This window comes from Homo sapiens, chromosome 1 (genome assembly GCF_000001405.40).
Source record: "Homo sapiens chromosome 1, GRCh38.p14 Primary Assembly".
In the NCBI taxonomy this organism is placed as follows: domain Eukaryota; kingdom Metazoa; phylum Chordata; class Mammalia; order Primates; family Hominidae; genus Homo; species Homo sapiens.
In genome coordinates this window covers 89,273,002-89,295,745 of record NC_000001.11, presented here as the reverse complement: position 1 = coordinate 89,295,745, position 22,744 = coordinate 89,273,002, and the positions used below count along the sequence as shown (strand labels likewise).

The 22,744-nt window shown below is 40.6% G+C and overlaps 2 pseudogenes across 1 annotated transcript; one reads left to right on the top strand and one right to left on the bottom strand.

Moving 5' to 3' along the window:
* The window catches only part of LOC100421401 (guanylate binding protein family member 6 pseudogene), a 65,535-nt pseudogene that overhangs the window by 7,213 nt on the left and 35,578 nt on the right, over positions 1–22,744 (bottom strand).
* On the top strand, positions 5,384–6,488 carry LOC729930 (intraflagellar transport associated protein pseudogene; annotated as a pseudogene). Its single transcript, NR_077244.1, has one exon. The product of NR_077244.1 is annotated as an intraflagellar transport associated protein pseudogene (transcript).

Genomic DNA, 22,744 nt, shown 5'->3' with positions numbered 1-22,744 from the left:
CTCAAGCATTTATAAAATACTGTTATTTTATAAAGTTATTTATAAAATACTGTTATTTTATAAAGTTATTTATAAAATACTGTTATTTTATAAAGTTATTTATAAAATACTGTTATTTTATAAAGTTATTTATAAAATATAAATAACTTTCCCAGGGTTTGTGCTGTTTTGAATTACTCCAGATGATCTCATGGAGCCAATATTAAATGGGGTTCCCAGGTTTACCAGGTGGATATTCTAACTAGGGTTATCTAATATAAGCAGCAATTGGTTATCTTTGCCAAGGTTATCTTTTTGTGGTAGTGTGTTTCCTAAAACCGGAAACCCTCCTACCACACAAAGATCCTAAGATAGGCCCACACTGACCTAAAATTAGCAGATATGCACACTCAGAAATGCAGGGAACTGACAGCTAATCTAGTGGCAGTTGTCTCCAGGTGAAGATAGCCTGCCTGAACAAGCACACAGCATAGAGAGAATTCTCTTTTTTCTTATCTGGAAGTGTTGATAGCTTCCTCTCACTTTCCCAGTCAAACCAGGATATATTCCTGCTGCAAACATCCTCTCATGATGAAAACACTTTTAAAAGAAAAATATAGACAGTGTTACAAGCTGTTAATATAAAGTCATATTTTTGAAAAAATGAAGATGTTAAGAAGTTTACCATTTACTTTCCTATTGCTGTATTTTTATAACCAAGTTGAATAACTAAGAAAAGCGAGTGACGATGTGCAAAACACTTAAAACAATTGTACTTCAAAGTCAAAGGAAAAAATTTGTGAAAAACAACCACAATGGCTTGCAATGTCTTAATTTTACCCTCTGTTGATATTATAAAATGTATGTTGTTACTATTTGAATTTATTTCCTTTGAATAATAATTTAAAGCAATTTAAAACATTTTTGATACAGCTTTTTTGTTCTGACTTATTTTTATGTCTGTATGCATTTTTCTGTCCTTCACCAAAATTTTAATATGAAAATAGAAAAAGCATCTAATATGGGATATCAATACCTGGCAAACAAAAGATAGAATAAATGTTGGCTGGATTCATTAATTTAAAGTGAAATGTAAACAGTTGTTTAGAATACAGAGGAGAAGAAAAAAACAAATTTGCATTAATCTGAAAAACATTAAAATAAGCTTATAGGATACCCTTCTGAAAGTTATAGAAGAATAATTTTACAAATGAGAGTAAATAAGTAGCTGCTTTGCTAGAGAGGGGGCTGAATGGCCTGTATGGGATGCTCCCTCCTTTCCCTTAGCTAAATGTGGTCCTCAGTTTGAAGATGTTTCAGCTGATGATATGGCTTAATTAATGGATGGTTCCATGAAACTCAAAGCTGCTGGAGTCCACTGGGCCACTGTGGCCATATGCCCCAAGGATGGCCATGTTTTGACAGACCAGAAAAGGATGCATGGCCTGATGGGCCAAGCTCTACATGGTAATAATACTTGTGTAGGTATTCCAACAGCAACTCCCTCCTACTTATTTACGTATGGTCCAGTGACTGGCAGATTAATGATTGGACCATTAAGAGCTTCTCTGCAGAAACCAGGAATGTAGAAGCAGCTTATGGACTGGAAAAGACACCTATTCATCACTTGTGTTGACACCTATGGCAGAGGACCATTCAAAAGGGAATGTGGATGGCACTCATGAGCTGACCCAGCATGAGCTCAGAAAATTGTCACAGTTGCTCATTGGGTTCTCCATAGAATGTGACCCAGAGCCCACCTCAGATGCAAGAATGGGCCAGATCATAAGGACCTGCCCTAGGAAAAATAAAAGCCAAAGATAGAACACAGCAGTGTGATTTCTGTCAGTAACCCAGGCTGTGCAATGTGATAAACTAGCCTGAATTAACCAGGGTTTAGGACCCACATGAATATGGCAAAATGACCACATCAAACCACTAGTTTCCAGTCACTGATTCTGGTGGTGTTTCACCACTGTTGATGCATGTTCTGAATATGGGACTACCATTTCAGTGTAGCATGTAGACAAGAGAACTACTGCTGTAGCTTTATAAAAGCACCTTTGCATATGTTCAGCAAAATTTCAATCTGATGAAAGCACTGTGTTCACTGCTCAAGCTACAGAGCAGTGGACATGTTCCCATGGCATAAGATGGATCTTGCATTTTCCCTATTTCACCCAGAGAAATGGGGTAATAAAATGATAAAATGTGTGGCTCAAGCAGTAACTAGACAAAGATCATCAGGAAGGACTACAGGATGACACTCCTGTCTAACTGATATGGTTTGGCTCTGTGTCCCCACCCAAATCTCACCTTGGATGGTAATAATCCCCACGTGTTGTGGGAGGAACCTGGTGGGAGGTAATTTAATTATGGGGTCAGGTTTTTCCCATGCTGATCTTGTGATAGCAAATACATCTCATGAGACCTGATGGTTTTATAAAGGGGAGTTCCCCTGCACATGCTCTCTTGCTTGCCGCCATGTAAGATGTGCCTGTGCTTCTCCTTTGCCTTCTGCCATGATTTTGAGACCTCCCCAGCCATGTGGAACTGTGAGTCCATTAAACCTCTTTCCTTTATAAATTACCCACTCTCTGGTATGTCTTTATTAACAGCATGAGAACAGACTAATACACTAAGAAAATCCATTTTGACATTAAACGTGGCACTGCAATTCATGCTGGGAAATACTGAGCTGGGAGGAGGTGGGGGACCAGGGAGTTTCTTGATTGGGCTGCACCTTCAAAATCCCAATCTCAGTATATCCAATCATTCTTTATCTATTTTCCTACAGGAAAGTACTCCCCAAAGGTGGTTGTGATCTGGGCTACAATGGCACCATAATAGGGCCTCCCAATTCAAACCTGGAGGCAATGCTACCTTCTGGTGCCTCTCAATGTGGATGGAGAAAGGAGCAACAGAATGTTGAGGAACCAGCATTCCTCTGATCACACCTGGGATTCCAGGCCCCTCAATACAGCTGGGTGATATTATAGAATATAACAAATGTGTTCAACATGTGATCCTCTTCCTGAATTGGACAACCAAGGCCAAAGGATTTGGGTCAAGCAATAAGGGCAGCATGTCCCTGCAGAAGTTGTAACCTTAGGACTCAAATAGACAGCTTGAGTGGCTATCCCAGGCAATCCTCACCCAGATAATTGGATAAGAGCGTCTGCAGCCTTTGAAGGTTTGTGGATCAACAGTAGAGTGAGGAAGCACTAATCTTTCCTCATCTCATTGCTGCAGAAGCCTCTGCCCTGCCTGGCATAACAACACCCTGAAGAGAATCAGCACAGCTATGGAGAGAGGAGATAAACTCAAACAATGCTGGATTTGTCATCCCAGAGTGAAGACTGTCTTGTCCTACAATCTTGTTGTAAGAGAATTACTTGTACACGACAACTTGGATGTTCTTCATGCTTCAAGACCAGTAAGTCTCACTGAACTCACTCACCACCATAGTGATAGATAACTGAATAGCCTTCAATTATGTGCTGGCCAAACAGGTAGGTATTGCCAACACTTGTTGCTGTTTATACCTTAATAATTTAGGGAATGTAGAAACTGAATTGGAGAAGGTGGGGTGCTCAACTGGATGGTTATTAGCTGTACACCTGCATTCTCTCTACACTCATTTTTTTTTACCTCTTTAGTTGGCTTAATCCAAGCACTCATGTTGTTGGTTGAGGACCATTTTCCAGGAAGGCCTGATCATCCTCCTGGGTCTGGTTCTTCCAGTGAACCTGATGAAGTGCTGTCTCAAAATGACAAGGAGGCTCTGAAAGCAAACTGCATGCATACAGGTTGTTCAGAGGCACAGCAGACTCAAACCCAGCTCCATCTTTCAATTTGAGGCAGGTAGTGGTCTTGTCAGATTTAATAGGTTTTATCTGTCATTACAGTGTCCCAGAAGGGGTCAGGGGAGGGGTGGACTATTGGGAAAGGTGGTCTCATGTGCACAGTCTTTCAACCCCTTCATGACCACATAAGAGTGGCTTTGGGCCTGGGACACTTCCTTACAGGGTGATAAGGAGCCCTCATAGCCTTTTGATGGGCATATCACTGTGTTCGGGAGTGTGTCTCTCTATTCTGGTCTTGATAGATGCTTTTTGTTCTACTTAAAGTGTGTATGTCATATAACACCTGGCCACCCTCACTGTTATATCTATTCCCAATAGGGACAGAATGGGGTGCTTTACCTGTAGCACAAGACGACTGTGTACAGACCCCATCTCCTTGTATTGGCTGTGGAACAAACCCACCGGCCATAGGCACTATTAAAGCTGATCTTGCACTATTTCTATGTGAGTGAAGAGTTGCTCCATCTAATACCTATGTGAGTCATGTGTCTCTTGGCAATTACAATACCTTGCAAACCAGGCAGTGGGAAGACATCTGGGGACTGCTGCTCCTGATGGTGGGCACTCTTATACACTTTTCTATCTTCCACTTAGTGGGACTCCTCCCCTGGAGGTGGTAACAGGTGTCATTTTCTTGACATTAATTTTATGTATCAACTTGGCTAGCCTAATGTGCCCAGTTCTTTGGTAAAACACCATCTAGATGGCACTATATAGGTAGCTTTTAGATGTAATTAATATTTAAACTCAAAGCAGACATTGAGTAATGCAAATTACCCTCTATAATGTGAATGCGACTCAACTCATCAGTTGAAGATCTTTAAAAAGACAAACGTTCTCTAAAGAAAAAGGTGTTCTTTTCAAGACTGAAATGTAAAAATCTACCCTGGGTTTCTAACCCGCTGCTTTGCGAATTTTGAACTGAAGACTGCAACATCAACTCTTACCTGAATGTCCAGCCTGCAGACCTGCCCTCTGGATGTCAGACTTGCCAGCCCCACAGCTGATCCAATTCCTTAAAACAAATCTTTCTCTGTCTCTGTCTCTTTCTCTTTTTTTTCTGTCTGTCTGTCCCTCCTCACACATACACACCTTCACACACACACTTCCTCGGGAGAACACTGATTAATATACCATAATTATCACAGAAATTAGGCACCTGTGTCATGGGAGAGGCAAGGATTTTGAGTATTCTCTATGCTGATGAAAATAAAAGACACAGCTGAAATATCTCCAGGAATTAGTAATCTGTAATCTGGAAACTTGAGGAAAGGCAATTCTCATTATAAAGTGGTAGAGGCCAGTCATGGTAGTTTATGCCTGTAATCCCAACACTTTGGGAGGCTGAGGTGGGAGGATAGCTTGATACAGGAGTTTGAAACCACCCTGGGCAATATAGTCCACCATTTCAAATAAAAACAAAACTTTAAAAAATAAATAAATATGTCCTTTGTAGGGACATGGATGAAGCTGGAAACCATAACTCTGAGCAAACTATTGCATGGACAGAAAGACAAACACTACATGTTTTCACTCATAGATACTGTGGCCTCGTGAATAGGAATGTGGGCTCATACATCAGGATTGAAAATAATGCATGAAGATCAATTAATCAAAGAAGTCCTGGATAAATTCCTTAATTGTCATGAGCAAACATATGATGAAGAATTTCTGAACACTTTTACTCATCTTTCACAAGAGGATCTTGTGTCCAAAAGGGGAGTGTTTGGAACTGATTCTTCGGAAAACATTTTTACCTAAGCAAAAGTTACTCATAAAAATGAAGCTAATGACTACCATCTTAGAAATAAAACCATTTTTCTTCGTACTTCATCACAATGTTTGGAAGAACAGGTAGACAATTTCCTAGATTTGGAAGATTTGGACATGGATGAAGAGAATAAACCCCAAAAAAGTGAGGATTTGCTGCTGCTCCCAGGAGAAGTGGAGTAGGATGTAAGCACCAGCATTCCTTCCTGTATCCTTCTGTGGCCCAGCCTCCCACCTGTGAAGTGAAGCCAAAGCCTACTGTAAAAAGAATGGACAAACAGATGGAAGAGATATGTGGAGATGAAGCTCAACCCTTCTCACTTGATGAGGAATTTGATTATGACAATGTGACGCTAACCTCCAAGTTTAGTCCTGCAGAGACAGAGACCATCAAAGAGCTAGGCAAGCAGAAGAGAAAGGACACCAGCCCAGACTTACAGGAACCCTGTGACTGATTCACAGAGGCATTTTTTTGTGTGTTTATTTTAATTTTGTTCTTATTCAAGTAACATTAGAATAAAAAATAATCCAACTATAAAAAAATAAAATAAATAAATAAAAGTGGCAGAGAACTTGGCCAAATTGTGTTCCAGTGTTTTGTGGAAATTAGACCTTTTGATGATATTTAGCTGAGGGGATTTCTAAACAAAGAATTAAAGGTACAGCCAGTTTTCTTCTTGCTACTGTGATAAAATGAAAGGAGACAGATAAATGGAAGAAGAAACAACTAAGCAACTAAAAAAAAGTAACACTTAATGATTTGGAAGATTCTCAGCCTATCCAGATAGCATGCTCTGGACACAGTGACAAGGGGGTGGCTGGACAATCATTTGCTAAAGATATTAGGCATGTGACTCATGAATCCAATCAATCGATCTCAGTAGAAGTCAGTAATAGAGATGTAGTTAGTCAGAAATGATCTGTAGAAGACTTTTTCTGATGGTGCAAACCCTTGTAAATTGCACAAGATTTTTGAGAATTTTACCCAAGCAGAAACATTGCTAGTCTCGAGGAAAAGAGACAGAGACAGGATGAAATGAAGGAAGAATAACTTTGCAGAACCACGAATGTAGAGTCCAGCTGGGCTGCCAACATGGGCCCAGAGGACACAGGCCCAGGAGATGGAGCTATCTTCTCCTTGGCTCCGGAAAGTGGAGCTACCACCCAGGCCTGAGAAGGTGGGGTTGTTGCCTGGGTGGGCCTGTAGGATCAGTCCACCACCCCAGTGTGGGCCCAGAGAACAGAGCAAGGTGGCAAAGAGGATGATTCTCAAGCGTCAAAATCTAATGGAATTTGTCATGCTATGTTTCTGACTTGCTTGGGATACAAGATCCCCTTCCTTCTAATTTCTTTCATCTGAAATGAGAATGTCTATCCTTTACCTGTCACCATTGTATTTTGGAAGCAGATAACTTGTCTGTTTTTCCAGGTTCACAGCTGGAGATGAACTTCTCCCCAGCATGATTCATACCTGTAATCTTACCCATTCTTGATTTAGATGAGATTTGGATTTCGAGTTGATGCTAGAATGGGTTAATACTTTTGAGGATGTTGGGTTGGGATGAATGTATTTCTTATGTGAGAAGGACATGACCTTTGTGGGGACTGAGGAAGGAATGTGGTATTTACTTGTGTCAGCCCTGGAAAACAATGAGAAAAGATGTTTGCCCTGTTTTATTAATTTTTCATTGTTTTATAATAAAGTTTTAACTAATCTAGTTCAAAATGCTGCCAGAATCAGAAGTCTCTTGTAATTATTTGTATTTTCTATTCAGAATAATAACAAGTAAATAATTGATATTAGAATGAAATCCAGTACCATTGCTAAAATTATGAAACAAGCCCAAGTGAAACCCCTAAGCTTACTGCCTCTTTATACAACACATTTATCTTATAGAAACAAGGATTTCTTTCAAGTCACAGAACCATCAAAATGAAACCTAACATGATAGAATGACAATGATGATGACAACAACAGTAACAAATACAAGAGTAACATGGGCTCATATTCACTAAATCATGTTTGAGCATTTTGAGTTGGGATTTCCATAGTTGTTCTATGAGATCAAAAGGCCGCGATGCAAAGAACCAAACTCATATGTGCTGAATGACAACAAAGTAAGCACTTTTAAACATGGATTGCGTTCAATCATTCAATAAATGAACATTGACCGCTGACCACGTGCTGGACACTAGGGAAAGGTGATGACATCAGCAAAACTGCTATGGTTCTTAGATGTTTTTAGTCCAGAAAACAGACATTAACAATTTGTCATATCAACAAATATGTTTTAATTTCTGATAAGCATTGTAAAGGAATAGCACAGAATGTCACAAGTAAATGTAGAAAAGTGACCTAATTTAGATTAGCAGGTCAGAAATATTTCCCTGAGGAAAGCAGAGTTGAGGTTTTAGTGAGTACGGTTTAGTCAGGAAAGGAAAATGAGTGCCAGGCAGAGGGATTTTGTGCAAAGTTCCTGATTAGGGAATATCTTGGCATGTTTGATCCAGACTGAAAGTTCATGTAGTGAAGCTGAAATAGACTGGGTTTAGAGAGGGACAGGCAGGAACCAGATCGTGTAGAATCTTGCAGGCCATAGTGTGGAGACAGGATTTTTGCCTAAGTGCAATAGGAATATTTTTAGACTTTTGTGCAAAAAAGTGACATAATTCAATTTATGTGTGTGTGTTTTAAATCACTGAGTCTAGCACATGGAGAATGAATTGAAGACCACTGAAAATGATGACCAAGTTATTAAGTCAGCCCTGGGAAGAGGCCTGTCTTCAGCTTCTTATAATGATAAACTTGTTTGTACAAACATTTTTAAGGGCTGAGTGCATGGCACTTGAAAAACAACAACAAACAAGGAGGTGCTGGAAGTCTAAAATAATGATGTTTCTCCCTTATTCCCTCCAAATTGTATATGCTTTCAGACATTATGCTTTAAAATGACCTAGTGTAACAGTTTTGCAGCCAGAAAAGCAGCCTCTTGGGCCAATTCAAGTCTACTTAAAACATTTCCTGAAATATAATTCATATTGAAACTGAAAGCAACAAAGAGCTACCTACATACTAGGCTCGATTCTAGGAAATCAGTTGCTTTTCTGTTCTAGAAAAACAAAAACATGATTTTTTAAAAAAAATCTAAACTTGCAGCACACCACGTAAAAAAATTATGCAAGGATAACTAAACCACTATTCTGTTGGGTGCTTCTGCAGACACTCTTCAGATATCACATTCTTCCATTGGGGCCACCTGTGCTTCAAGGTCCAGACAAATTTTATGGCATGTGCAGCTACTGCTTAGATAGGAACTTTCCTAGACTTCTCAAAATGTCTATTCAATTTAAACCCTATGCTTCTGTCTTCCTGTGGTACATTTTTCCACAGAGTTTCCAAAGTCCAGTGTCTGCACTATTTGCAACTGTCATTGTTTTGGCAGTCTCCTCCTCTCCTGCAGCAAAATAGCTACTGAAATAACATATTATAAAAGGTAAAGCTGAGTTTTATTATTTGAACATTTGACCCCAACACGCTCAGACAGGGAAATGCTCATATTTGTAAAACCTCATGATGTGTCTATTGGAGCGGACAGAGAAAATATAAGGATTGAAGTACTAGAGGAAACCTAATAACAAATTATGCCAAATTGCTCTGTGGGAGAATTTTTATTTGCTCCTAAAAGCAAAGTAGTGGGTAGGAGAAAAGAAGATAGAATGAGGAAGAGGACAGAGTGAAGGTAGAAATGCGGAAAGGGGATATTCTTCAGTATAGTGAGAGCTTGAGGGTCCCCTCAATTTGTGATGGGCAAAGGAAACATAGGAAAAACACGGCTGCCCATATGCATATCTTCAGTAAAATTTATTACACCCATATGTGCTTTTTTGATTGTCTTCCATTTGAGAGTGAAGGCTACAGAAGGTGCTATATCCTGCTTTCTCAGATTAAATAATTACCCCAACCATCAGAAAATGAGGTCACCTTCATCATTACTACAATAGTCGTACAGCAAGAATCGGCAGTGGCCCAGCGTGGTCTCAGCATGCCCTTGAAACCACCCAAATATTACAGGAAAATAATAAGAATCAGTCCTCAATTTGCTTTCTTTTCCTTTGGGAGGGCATGCAGTTTGAGATGGTATGCTTGAGGTAGAAAATATGTTTTGTTTCAGTAGGTGACTGCTATGGTTTGGATGTGGTTTCTGTCTGTCAAAGCTCATGTTAAAATTTGATACCGCATGTGGTAGTGTTGGGAATTGAGGCTAGTGGGAGATGTTTAGGTCATGGGGGCAGATCCCTCATGAATAGATTAGTGACCTTCCACTGGGGCCAGTAAATTCTCACTCTTGCAGGAGTAGATTAGTTCCCAAGGACGCAGGTTGTTAAAAAGAGTTTACCTTCCTCAGTATTTCTTCCTTGCTTTCTCCCTCCCCACGTGATCTCTTTGCACACACTCACCCCTGCTTCTTCTTTCTTCCATGAATGGGCATAACACAAAGCTCTCATCAGATACATCTGCCCAACCTTGGCCTTTCTAGACATCAGAATCATTATCCAAGTAAACGTCTCTCAATTGTTTTTTAATAAAACAGGGATTCTGCTGTAGCAACACAAACAGTCTAAGACAGTGACTATGTCTTAGTCACTAAGGCTGTGGAAACCTCACAATCATGGCAGAAGGCAAGGAGGAGCAAGTCACATGTTACGTGGATAGCGGCAGGCAAAGAGAGAGCTTGTGCAGAGAAACTCCCTTTTTAAAACCCCTCAGATCTCATAAGACCCATTCAACTATCATGAGAACAGCAAAGGAAAGGCCTGCCCTTATGATTCAATTATCTCTCACTGGGTCCCTCCCACAACACGTGGGAATTAAAAATGAGATTTGGGTGGGGGACACAGCCAAACCATATCATTTCACTGCAGCCCCTCCCAAATCCAGTCCTCACATTCAACACCAATTATGCCTTCCCAACAATAGCCCAAAGTCTAAACTCATTTCAGCATTAACTCAAAAGTCCATAGTCCAAAGTCTCATCTAAGACAAAACAAGTCCCTTCCACCTATGAGCCTGTAAAATCAAAAGCAAGTTAGTTACTTCTGAGATACAATGGAGGTACAGGCATCGGGTAAATACAGCCATTCCAAATGGGAGAAATTGGCCTAAACAAAGGCGCTACAGGCCCCATGCAAGTCCAAAATCCAGCAGGGCAGTCAAATCTTAAAGTTCCAAAATGATAACCTTTGACTCCATATCTCACATCCAGGTCACGCTGATGCAAGAGGTGAGCTCCCATGGTCTTGGGCAGCTCTGTACCTGTGGTTTGGCAGGGTACAGCCTCCCTCTGAGCTGCCTTCATGTGCTGGGATTGAGTGAAGCTTTTCCAGGCGCATGGTCCAAGCTATCAGTGTATCTACCATTCTGGGGTCTGGAGGATGGTAGCCCTCTTCTCACAGCTCCACTAGGCAGTGCTCCAGTAGGGACTCTGTGTGGAGGCTCTGACCCCACATTTCCCTTCCACACTGCCCTAGCAGATGTTCTCCATGAGAGCCCCACCCTTGCAGCAAACTTCTGCCCAGACGTCCAGGCATTTCCATACATCCTCTGAAATCTAGGCAGAGGTTCCCAAACCCCAATTCTTGACCTCTGTGCACTGGCAGGCTCAACACCACGTGGAAGTGGCCAAGGTTTGAGGCTTGCACCCTCTAAAGCCACAGCCTGAGCTCTACATTGGCGCATTTTAGCTATGGCTGGAGCAGCTTGGAGGCAGGGCATCAAGTCCCTAGGCTGCACACAGCATGGGGACCCTGGGCCTGGCCCAGGAAACCACTTTTTCCTCCTAGGCCTCAGAGTCTGTGATGGGAGGGGCTGCTGAGAAGACCTCTGACATGCCCTGGAGACATTTTCCCCACTGTCTTGGGGATTAATATTCAGCTACACATTACTTATGCAAATCTCTGCAGCTGGCTTGAATTTCTTCTCAGAATACGGGATTTCCTTTTCTATCACATTGTCAGGCTGCAAATTTGCTGAACTTTTATGCTCTGCATCCCTTATAAAACTCAATGTTTTTAACAGCACCCAAGTCACCTCTGGAATGCTTCGCTGTTTAAAAATTTTATTCTGCCAGATACCTAAATCATCTCTCTCAAGTTCAAAGTTCCAAAATCTCTAGGGCACGAGCAAAATGCCACCCATCTCTTTGCTAAAACATAACAAGAGTCACCTTTGCTCCAGTTCCCAATAAGTTCCTTATCTCCATCTGAGACCACCTCAGCCTGGATTTCATTGTCTATATTGCTATCAGCATTTTGAGCAAAGCCATTCAACAAGTCTCTAGGAAGTTCCAAACTTGGTACAGCAATTAGGGCATTGTGTTCAGAGAAGAATTTATGGCCAGGGCTCCAGTGCCTCAGAGGTGAGCTACCATGAAACAAGCCAGGGCCAAGTACAAAGAGGTGGTAAGATGCTGAGATGCCATTAACAGTATATGGACTCAGAAATGGGGGACACAGAAGCCCATTCATAAGACATGACTACTCAGTGGGTTATAGGAGCTCAGGAATTAGGTAGGAGTCAATTTGTTGATCTTGCAGAACTACAGTGTGTTGGTCTTCAGAGGCTGAAGTGTTGTCTACAAGTCCCAGTGTACTTTGAGAACAAATAGTGGCCTGAGAAAGAGACTGGGGCCAACTGACCCAGCTAGAGAAAGTTCAGGTTGAAGAAGGGAACACAGCAGAGCAGGGCTTTGCAGTGAGATCACCTATTCAATATCCCCTTCTGCAGACAAGGAAACTTAAACACTAAATAGACATTTTCTAAGAAAAAAATATTTTTAGCATTTGTAATGTATTTCCAAATACATTACCAGGTGTTACTTAGGTTTTACCATACTTTTACTGCCATCAGTAATGATCATATGTTTTTGTATTTCTCTGTCAAGAATGTCATGTATCATAAACTTTACAAGTTCTTCATTATTAGGAAAAGTATTTATTTTGCATGTATCTATAAATGGCATTTTTTCTTTACATAAAATTCGACCAGGTGTGGTGGCTCACACCTGTAATCCCAGCACTTTGGGAGGCCGAGGTGGACGGATCACCTGAGGTCAGGAGTTTGAGACTAGCCTGGTGAACATGGCAAAACCCCAACTCTACTAAAAATACAAAAATTAGCCAGGCAAGGTGGTGTGCACCTGTAATCCTAGCTAGTAGGGAGGCTGAGGCAGGAGAATCACTTGAACACTGGAGGCAGAGGTTACAGTGAGCCAAGATAGCACCACTGCACTCCAGCCTGGGTGACAGAGCAAGACTCCATCTCAAAATAATGATGATAATAATAATAATAATAAAATTCTACATCACCAGATCATGTTTTCTATAGCATTAGGGATGAGAAGCTTGATACTCCTTACATTATAGGTAAATAATAGTCCATTGGAAAACTTTTAATTATCTTTGGACTTTGGAAACTGCACCAGGATAGATATAAATATGTCTTTTAAGATAATGTTCTTATGGTATTCTTTAATTATTTTTGGGAATCCTTTTGCTTCTATTCCTCCATCTGGAACTCCTATAATGCAGATAATGCACCTCCTGGATTTATTCTCTGTGTGTTTTCTTTCATGGTGGGTCTATATTCATTTACTATGCTTTTGAGGAGAATTTCTTGATCTAATTTTCTTAACATTAATCAGTTTTGAGCAGCATTCATTCTTCTCATTCAGTACCTGTTTTGATTTTATATCCAAATAATTGCATCTTTTCATTTTTGAGACCAGATGATATGGTTTGGCTGTGTCTCCATCCAAATCTCATCTTGAATTACCACATGTTGTGGGAGGAACCTGGTGAGAGGTAACTGAATCATTGGGGTAGGTCTTTCCTATGCTGTTCTCATGATATGTGAATAAGTTTCATGAGATCTGATGGTAATATAAGGGGCAGTTTCCCTGCACAGGCTCTTCTTTCGTCTGCCGTCATGTAAGATGTGACTTTCACCTTCTGCCACGATTGTGAGGCTTCCCTAGCCACATGGAACTGCAAGTCCAATAAACCTCTTTCTTTTGTAAATTGCACAGACTCAGGTATGTCTTTGTCAGCAGTGTGAAAACAAACTAATTCACCATGTTAGTGTTCACAAGATGTTCCTTTTATCAGGAGAGACTTCTCTTTTAATCAGAGCAAAGGTACATCTATTCTCATATAGGATATGACTTAAAACTCCTTAAATAGCTGTCCTGCTCCCAATATGATCTCTTCTTCAATTTGGCAAATTTATCCTGATTGCTTAGCTTAGTCAGGATCTTCTGAACTACTGATTTACTACATGTGTCTAAGTATATATTTGTATGTTTGCTTGACCAGTCTTCTCATATCATTAAGAGTCCAAATCACTTGTCCTAAGTTGAGGAAGCACCACTATATTAGCTTGGTTTGGGTGCACACCATTGTACTAGTGAACTGTGGTCAGCGGGGAGATGATCTGTTAGAGACTGTAACTGAGTTAAGTCTCTACCTTGAATTTGTGTCATATTTTACAAATATTGAATATACCACAGGTCATTTGTTTACTCACCTATTTGTTAATTCATTTAAACAGTATTTGTTAAGTATCTGTTTTATACTATGTAGTATTTGAAGTGCTAGAGATAATAGCAATGAACAAAACAGGTACAAAGACCCATCACATGAAACTTTCTAAAGGAGCTATAGAGGATATAAATAAATAAATAAATCAGCAAAATACATCAGATGATGATAAGTCCTATGGAAAAAAAGAGGGGAGAAATAAAAATTTGAGTCAGAGGAAGAGAGAAGTTTATGAATTTGAGTGTTCATACAAGATACCATACACCATTGATGGGAAAACGTTTGAAAGAAGAGAGTGAGTAGCAGTATATATCTGAAGGAAGAGTTTTGTAAGTACTATGAATAGCATGTGCAACATCTTGGACAGGACAAATCCTGTCAAGGAACAGCAAGAAGGCAGCAGCATGCAGTAGGAAGTGAGGTGCAGAAGAGGTTAGGAGAAAGATTTATTAAGCCAATATTAAGACTTTCGTTTTTAAGGATCTTTTAAAGATTTACAAGTCATTGGGAAATTTGGGGCATTGCAATTACGTTATCTAACTTATGATGTAAAAAGAACCACACAAAATGCTGAAATAGAGAAAGAATAGAAGCAGAGAGTCATATTGGCGTTTCCTGTAATCATCTCAATGAGAGATAATGGTGACATACTGGAAAGGTGGCAGGAAAGGGGCCAAAAAGTGGTCAGAGTCTGGGTCTATTTTAAAAGTAGAGGTGTCACTTTATATATATTACATATATATAATTATATTATAAATAATATATTATAATTATATATATTATATATTAAAATTATATATATATAATATATATATAATTAGATAACTAAGTACATAGATGTCCAGTATGGAATCCAAATTGTTACTAGAAGTGAAATAAATTGCAAACAGAAAGTAGAGTAGGAATAAAAGAATACCCTAAGTTCACTTTAATAAACTTGATTAATATTGGTATTCTGATATATAAAATAATAAATTCCTGGTTGTCTAGCTTTAATTTCCCTCAAAGCATAGCCTGAAATGCCCAAAATAAAGGCTTGCTTGTAGATGGCTTAAGTGGGAATATGATTCTACGGAGCAGAAATGAGAAATAGAATGAAACAGGGAAGGAAGGAAAGTCAATCAAAGAATGGGTTATCAATTCAGCACTGCTGTGATAGAGATGTCAATTCAAATGGAGTCTTGAGAAATGTTACAGAATGTATTTCAGAACCATTCCCCCAACAAGTTGAGAAAGGAAAGAATTTATCCATCAGCTCTCATCTTTTATTGATAAAGTTTGGCTTATGTTTCAATTTTTGAGAGAATGAGTGCTAAGTGTGTTTTAGTGTGAGATCTGTGCTGCAGGATCTGAAAAGCCTCATGGCAAGAAATAAATGCCACAGGGCACTGGACTGAAGCAAAGTGCTCATCAGCATGAAGCTTATCCCAGCCCATGTAGGACTGGTTCCAATAACAGAACCTGGAGTGTGAAGTAGATCCATGATACATTTGAAGTGGTATACAAGGAGTGCTAGTACAGTCCAACTCATAATATCATTCAATCCACTTGCCCTCTCCAGTGGGACAGCCCATCATAGAATCTCTTTCAAGGTCTTATCAGCTGGGAATTGTTGAGATTTAACAAAAGGTTAGTAGGAAAAACTATCTCCTGCTTACAAGAGCAGATTTTGAGACTTTGATTGATTGTTTTTATGAAGACATCTGAACTCTTTAATTATAGGGGTTTGAATGTTTTTTATGGCATGTGTCATTGAAAAATTATTTACATAAGTTCTTGGGGAATAGGTGGTATTTGGTTACATGAGTAAGTTGTTTAGTGGTGATTTGTGAGATTTTGGGGCACCCATCACCACAGCAGTATACACTGTACCCAATTTGTAGTCTTTTATCCCTTTTTCATCTGCCTCTTATACCACTTATCTTAGTCCTTCCATGCTGCTGTAACAAAATATCACAGACTAAGTCATTTATACATCAGAGAAATTTATTTTTCACAGTTTTAGAGGCTGGGGAGTCCAAGATCAAGGCACCAGCAGATCTGATGTCTGGTGAAGGCTCACTCTCTGCTTCCAAGATGGTGCAATGTATGTGTCCTGACATGAGGAAAAAGGCAAAAGGGATTAGGGCACCCCTTTCAACCTCTTTTATAAGAACACTAATCCTATTCGTGAGGGTGGTGTGCTCATGATGTAATCACTTCTTAAAAGGCCTACCTCTTAATACTATCACTTTCAGTATTAAGTTACAGTGTATAAATTTTGAAGGGACACATACATTCAAACCATAGCACCACTTATTTGAGATTTCTTTAATCCTCAGGCAGCACTTTGGATGTTGCAATTTGTTTGTAAACTGAGCCAAACCTCACCCTAAGAAGTTTAAACCCTTAAGTTACCTTCATTTTTTTTTTAACTGTGGTGGTTGCTGCTACTGTGGTTTCATCGTTTGAAAAACCAAGCGATGCCCTATGGTTGCTGCTACCGTGGTTTCATCGCTTGAAAAAAACAAGCGATGCCCTGTGTTCCAAAAAATTAAAAACAACTCTAGTTCCTTATTGTGGTCAAGGTAAATTATACTTACCCATGCTCTGGTTACATATTGCTACTTATAAATACATCAAAATTTAGTGGCTTTAAATAAAAAATATTTTATTGCAGTTAACTACAATATTGTATAACACATACAATGATTTCATTACTATGCCAGTCAGAAACTCAGGTTAGGCTTGACTGGGTGACGCTTTAACTCCAAATGGTTCCAGCTGCAGATCCTGGGTATTTCGTTAACAGATGCACTGATTTTGTGGGCCGGGATGGCCTCACTCACATAACTGTGGCCTTGTTGACAATGGTTAGAGGCTTGAGCCCATTTGTGAATATCAACTATAGTGCTTACATTTGGTCTTGTCTCTTCAGCATGACAGTCTTAGGGTAGGTGGACTTCTTACATGGCAGATTAGGGACCCCAAGGAACATTCATAGCTTATTATTTTCTTTTTCCATGGCTTTTTCAGGCAATTAACAAATGTCAGCTGACTCTAACATCCTTATAATTACCAAAGACCCATATACCGTTTAAAGGCCCACAGCCTAACCCAACACTTCATTTTCCACTTGCGTCTCATTCCAGTTCACCTACATGTAAGAAGTTACCATCTTTCCACTTATTACTGCCTGTATAGACTTTATGGATCTTTGGCCAATTAGTGATTCACTCTAAAATTCCAACCCTGTGGAGTTGCGTGCCAGGATCTCCATTACCATCTGTCTTATTCTATGTTCTCCCAAATTCAGAGCCTGGGAGAAAGGCCTGGCTAAAAAGAGTTTTCTTTAGAAAAATGACCCTAAAAGAAAATATAAAGAAACAGGAGAGAGGATCAGGGAAGTAAAACAGGAAAGGAGGATAGGCCAATGAAATAATGTTATTGATTTGGTCACCACTGTGGGTCACCGCTATTCCATTTCACCACTGTTCTCTAAAACATGTTATGAGAGGCACGTCAGAATGGAACACACAGAAAACAAGAAAGAAAGCCATTTCCTCATTGGCTTCTATCATGCATGATAACTTTCTCACAGTTCTGTGTTGTACATGAAAAGGTGTTGAGCAAGTTCTTGCTGGAATACTAGCTGCAGAAGCATCGAAAATATGAAGCACCAACCCAGTGATGCCTGTGCAAAGCTGCTGAAATGGTGATGTCAGCAGAGGATGTAGTAAGATATGAGGCCAGTGGAATTTTGAAAGTGTATACAAGAAGTTTTCAACATACCTGAGAGCATAACTCCAGGCATAAAATTATCTGTTCTAATTCCAGTGTTTGGGTTTTCCTACTTTTTTGTCTGAAAATATCTTTACTTTTAGTTTTAATACTAATTAATTTTTACAATAGTTAGAATTTTAGTTGGATTAGTTTTTGTTTATTTTTATTCATAAAAATTTTATTAGTATAGATTTGGGGAGTACAAAGGCAGATTTCTTACATGCCTGTATTGTATAGCAGTGGAATCTTGGCTTTTACTGTATCCATCACCCATATAGTGAACATCGTACCTAATAGGTAACTTTTCAACCCTCTCCCCACTTCTACCTACCCATCTTCTGTAGTCTCCAATGTCTATTATTTATAGAAACCAAATTGAAATACATTGCTGCTGCAGCTAGGGATGGCCCCCAAAAATATTGTTGTGAAATGTTCTCTGTGGACAGATTTTAAACAGTTAACAGGTAAGCAATTTTGTGTAAAGGAAGAAGTGGCCTGAAGTAAGGCTATATACAGAATCTTGAGCAGTGGAGAATGGTTTATGTAGTTGGCCTTGGCACAATTGTAGGATCAGAAATAAACAGGTCTGTAGGTAAATCTATAGGAATAAGTGCATAAAGTGTGTGGATCTTTATGTCTTAAGTCAATGTCAACCAGAGTATATAGGTTTTAGAGAGACACTGAACAAACCAGGTGGCTAAAATGACTTATCCAGTAGATTTGAGCCAGGCTTTATCCTCAGCTACCTAGTGTTTGCACAGAACAGATACGGTAGCAGGGATGAAATCTTTGCATGGACCCATCAACCTGGGCTTCCTCTCACCAAGGCCAATCTCACTACACGTTAAATATTGGCCCAAAGACAACAAAAATTGACACTGAGCCTTCAGTATAATACCACCCTTCAAGAAGACCAACCAGACCACTAGATGTCAAGGTGATCAAATCAGTCCTTTTGCACCTTGGAGGAGTCTGTGATTTTTTTTTTTTTTTACTGAAATTGACATAAATTCTGGGTATGGATATTCCCCTGTTGAGAGTGGTTCAGCCAGCACCTATTCGAGGACTTGCAGTGTCTGTTTAAATGTCCTAAAATCCTACTAAACATCAGCTTAGAGAAAGTTTTGAAAGTTTTACTTTACAGTAAAGAGGCACAACAATGCGAATGTAACCATGGAATCCACTAGTCCTTATACATCATCTAAAAGCTGCCAGCCTAACAAAACTGGAATGGCCAGTAGAGACCATTGTGGGGTTGGGGACTGTCATTCAATATGCAGTATATAATTGGATAACTAAAGGATATTATATGCTAGCTGGAATATATGAGCCTGGGAACCAAAGCGTTAAAGTAGGAGTATTCTCCGTTGAATTATTTGTGAATTTGTGATCCATTGTCTAGTCTGCTGGACTAGAGGGCCAGTTCTCAGGGTGAAGTTAAGCAGTTTTTCTACCAGGGGTCATAGTAAAGTTCTACTAAATCTGAAACTATAGCTGCCACCTGGTCATTTTATGAATTTCATGTTTGTAGACAAGCCAGCAGGCAATTAAAAGGATTGATCTACTGGCAAGCTTAAATGATTATGGTTTCTGTGAGGAAATAGTACATAATGGAAGCAGGGAGGAGTATGGCTGGCACTCAAAGGATTCCCTGGGATACTCTTGGTGCTTGCATGGCCTGTTAAGATGCACTGGAAGTAACTACAGCCTTATTAAAGCACAGAAATAGGTCTTCTGGTTTCTCAGAAATGAAGAAATGTTTCTCTCCACTGAGAAGGCAACCTAGACAAGGAGAACTCCTGATCAAGTATGAGCAAAACCTAGAATGGGTAATAGAGGAGAAGATCTTGAATATCAGTTAGGATCACAAAATCAGTTGCAGCAAAGAGGACTATAGCTTAGACTTTCCTATTGTGTGTGTGTGTGTGTGTGTGTATATATATATATTTAAACTAACGACCAGCCACAAAATTGAAGAAGCCATTAAGGAAAGGTTGATCTTTGCATAAGATAGGGGCAATATGGATGGGATACCCACAACATCTGTGAAGGCCATCTCCCTTTATCACTCAACCTTGCACATTCCAATGGCATCTCACTGCAAACATCAGAGATCCTTCATCTAAGCATTTTTTCTCAGCCCACACGTGGGCCAGGTCAGGAGTGCAAGGGGGTTATGCTTTCAGGACCAGTCTTTATCCAGAAATGAAAGGAAGTTGGAAGAAAAGTACCCCAGGTTTCTAACCCACCCAAGAGGGAAATTGGAGGCAGATTTTACATTGTTTCCTAGAGTTACCTGAGGAGATCTAACTCCTGGTTCCCACAACAAAACCTGCTAGATATGTTCCCAGTCACTGGCTTCATTCCGTTCCAGTTTTCACTTTCCCACTGTCCTACCCCGTTTCTTATGAGCACCTTCAAAATAAATATCCCTTGCTCACAAATCCTTGTCTAGGAACTAAAGCTCCAAAAATACTGCCTAACAGCCACTCTGTTCATTGTAAAATAAAGATAGAAAAAAAATTGTCTTGTAGGATTGAAACCAGGATAATATGAGATATTTAGTGTCCAGATCTTAGAATCCATTTATTAAAAAGGGACAATAATAATGATGATTATTATGATGATTCACTCAACAAACACAAAAGGACTACAATAAAGTGCTTGGGTTTCAGTCTTAAGATCCATTTATTAGTAGCTCTGTGATTTTGGGCAAGTTACTAAATCTCCCTGTGTCTTAGCTTTTGTAAAATTGGGAGAAAGCATTTGTTGGGAGAATTAAAATAGAATAATCCACACAAAGTAGTGAAACCTGTCCAGGGCATTACAAATGTCTAATAAATAATATCCTTGTTATCATTCATCATGTACTAAGTGCCAAAAACTTTGTCCTTGCCTGTGAGTTAAAGTTCTCAGCTACTGAACCTACTGCGAAAGTAATAAACTTAGTCCTGTGTGAGCAGCTCTAACATTTCACAACAATAGACCTCAAAAATCATATGAGCTCTTCCCCTGGCCTACTCCCAAACTGGAGATGAATGTCAACGTATTTCAAGCTAGGTTTGAAATACCACATACTTTGAACAACTGTGAAAGATCTCAAATTTCTCTTCTAGTAACAACAACAATGGAAGCAGGGAGGAGTATGGCTGGCACTGAAAGGATTCTCTGCAGTTTCTAGGAAACATGCAGTTTCAAAGAAGTCAGGTCAAATACATCCAGCCTATCTACACTAGGTAACAGTTGGGCAATTCCCTTTGTCATCTGGCTTAGTCACTGAATTTCCTTTTTGGTTTCTATTTCCTACAGAGAACTTTCAAAAATCCCCCTTTCTGTTATTCCATATTTTGTATTCAAATTGTCTCCTTTTTCGAGCAGGGAAAATGGGGTGGGAAGAACAAAAACCCCAGGACTGAGTGAAGAAAATAAATGAGAAATCACCACAGTGAAAGTAAAAGACGAGAGTTCGAACTCAGCAAGTTCTCATCGAAGCAGCTTTCTTTTTTCTTTTCTTTTCTTTTTTTTTTTTTTTTTGAGACAGAGTCTCGCTCTGTCACCCAGGCTGAAGTGCAGTGGTGCAGTCTCGGCTCACTGCAAGCTCCGCCTCCCAGGTTCAAGCCATTCTCCTGCCTCAGCCTCCCGAGTAGCTGGGACCACAGGCGCCCGCCACCATGCCCAGGTAATTTTTTGTATATTTTTAGTAGAGACGGGGTTTCATCGTGTTAGCCAGGATGGTCTAGATCTCCTGACCTCGTCATCCACCCGCCTCGGCCACCCAACATGCTGGGATTACAGGCGTGAGCCACCGTGCCCAGTCCCTCATGGAAGCAGTTTTCTTACTAGCTCTAAAATACCTCTTCTCCCGATTTTATAATCAAGGTAATGAGAGGTGACGGCGTGCTGGCAGCCCTTGCAGCCCTCCCTCGCTCTCGGTGCCTCCTCTGCCTGGGCACCCACTCTGGCGGCACTTGAGGAGCCCTTCAGCCCTCCGCTGCACTGTGGGAGCCCCTTCCTGGGCTGGCCGAGGCCGGAGCTGGCTCCCTCAGCTTGCTGGGAGGTGTGGAGGGAGAGGCAGGGGTGGGAACTGGGGCTGCGCCCGGTGCTTGAGGGCCAGCGCGAGTTCTGGGTGGGCTTGGGCTCTGAGGGACCTGCACTCGGAGCGGCCCCAGGCAGTGAGGGGCTTAGCACCTGGGCCAGCAGCTGCTGTGCTCCACTTCTTGCAGGGCCTTAGCTGCCTCCCGGTGGGGCAGGGCTGGGGACCTGCAGCCTGCCATGCCTGAGCCTCCTCCCCTCTCCCGCTCCCCACCTCACCCCGCCATGGGTTCCTGTGCTGCCTGAGCCTCCCCAACCTGTGCTGACCCCTGCTCCACAGCACCCTGTCCCATCCATGGCCCAAGGACCGAGGAGTGCCAGTGCATGGAGCAGGACTGGCAGGCAGCTCCACCTGCCGCCCGGTGCAAGATCCACTGGGTGAAGCCAGCTGGGCTCTTGAGTCTAGTGGGAACTTGGAGAATCTTTATGTCTAGCTAAGGGATTGTAAATACACCAATCAGCACTCTGTATCTATTTAATCTGGTGGGGACTTGGAGAATCTTTATGTCTAGCTAAGGGATTGTAAATGCACCAATCAGCACTCTGTATCTACCTCAAGGTTTGTAAATGCACCAATCAGCACTCTGTATCTAGCTCAAGGTTTGTAAATAGGCCAATCCACACTCTGTATCTAGCTAATCTAGTGGGGACATGAAGAACTTTTGTGTCCAGCTCAGGGA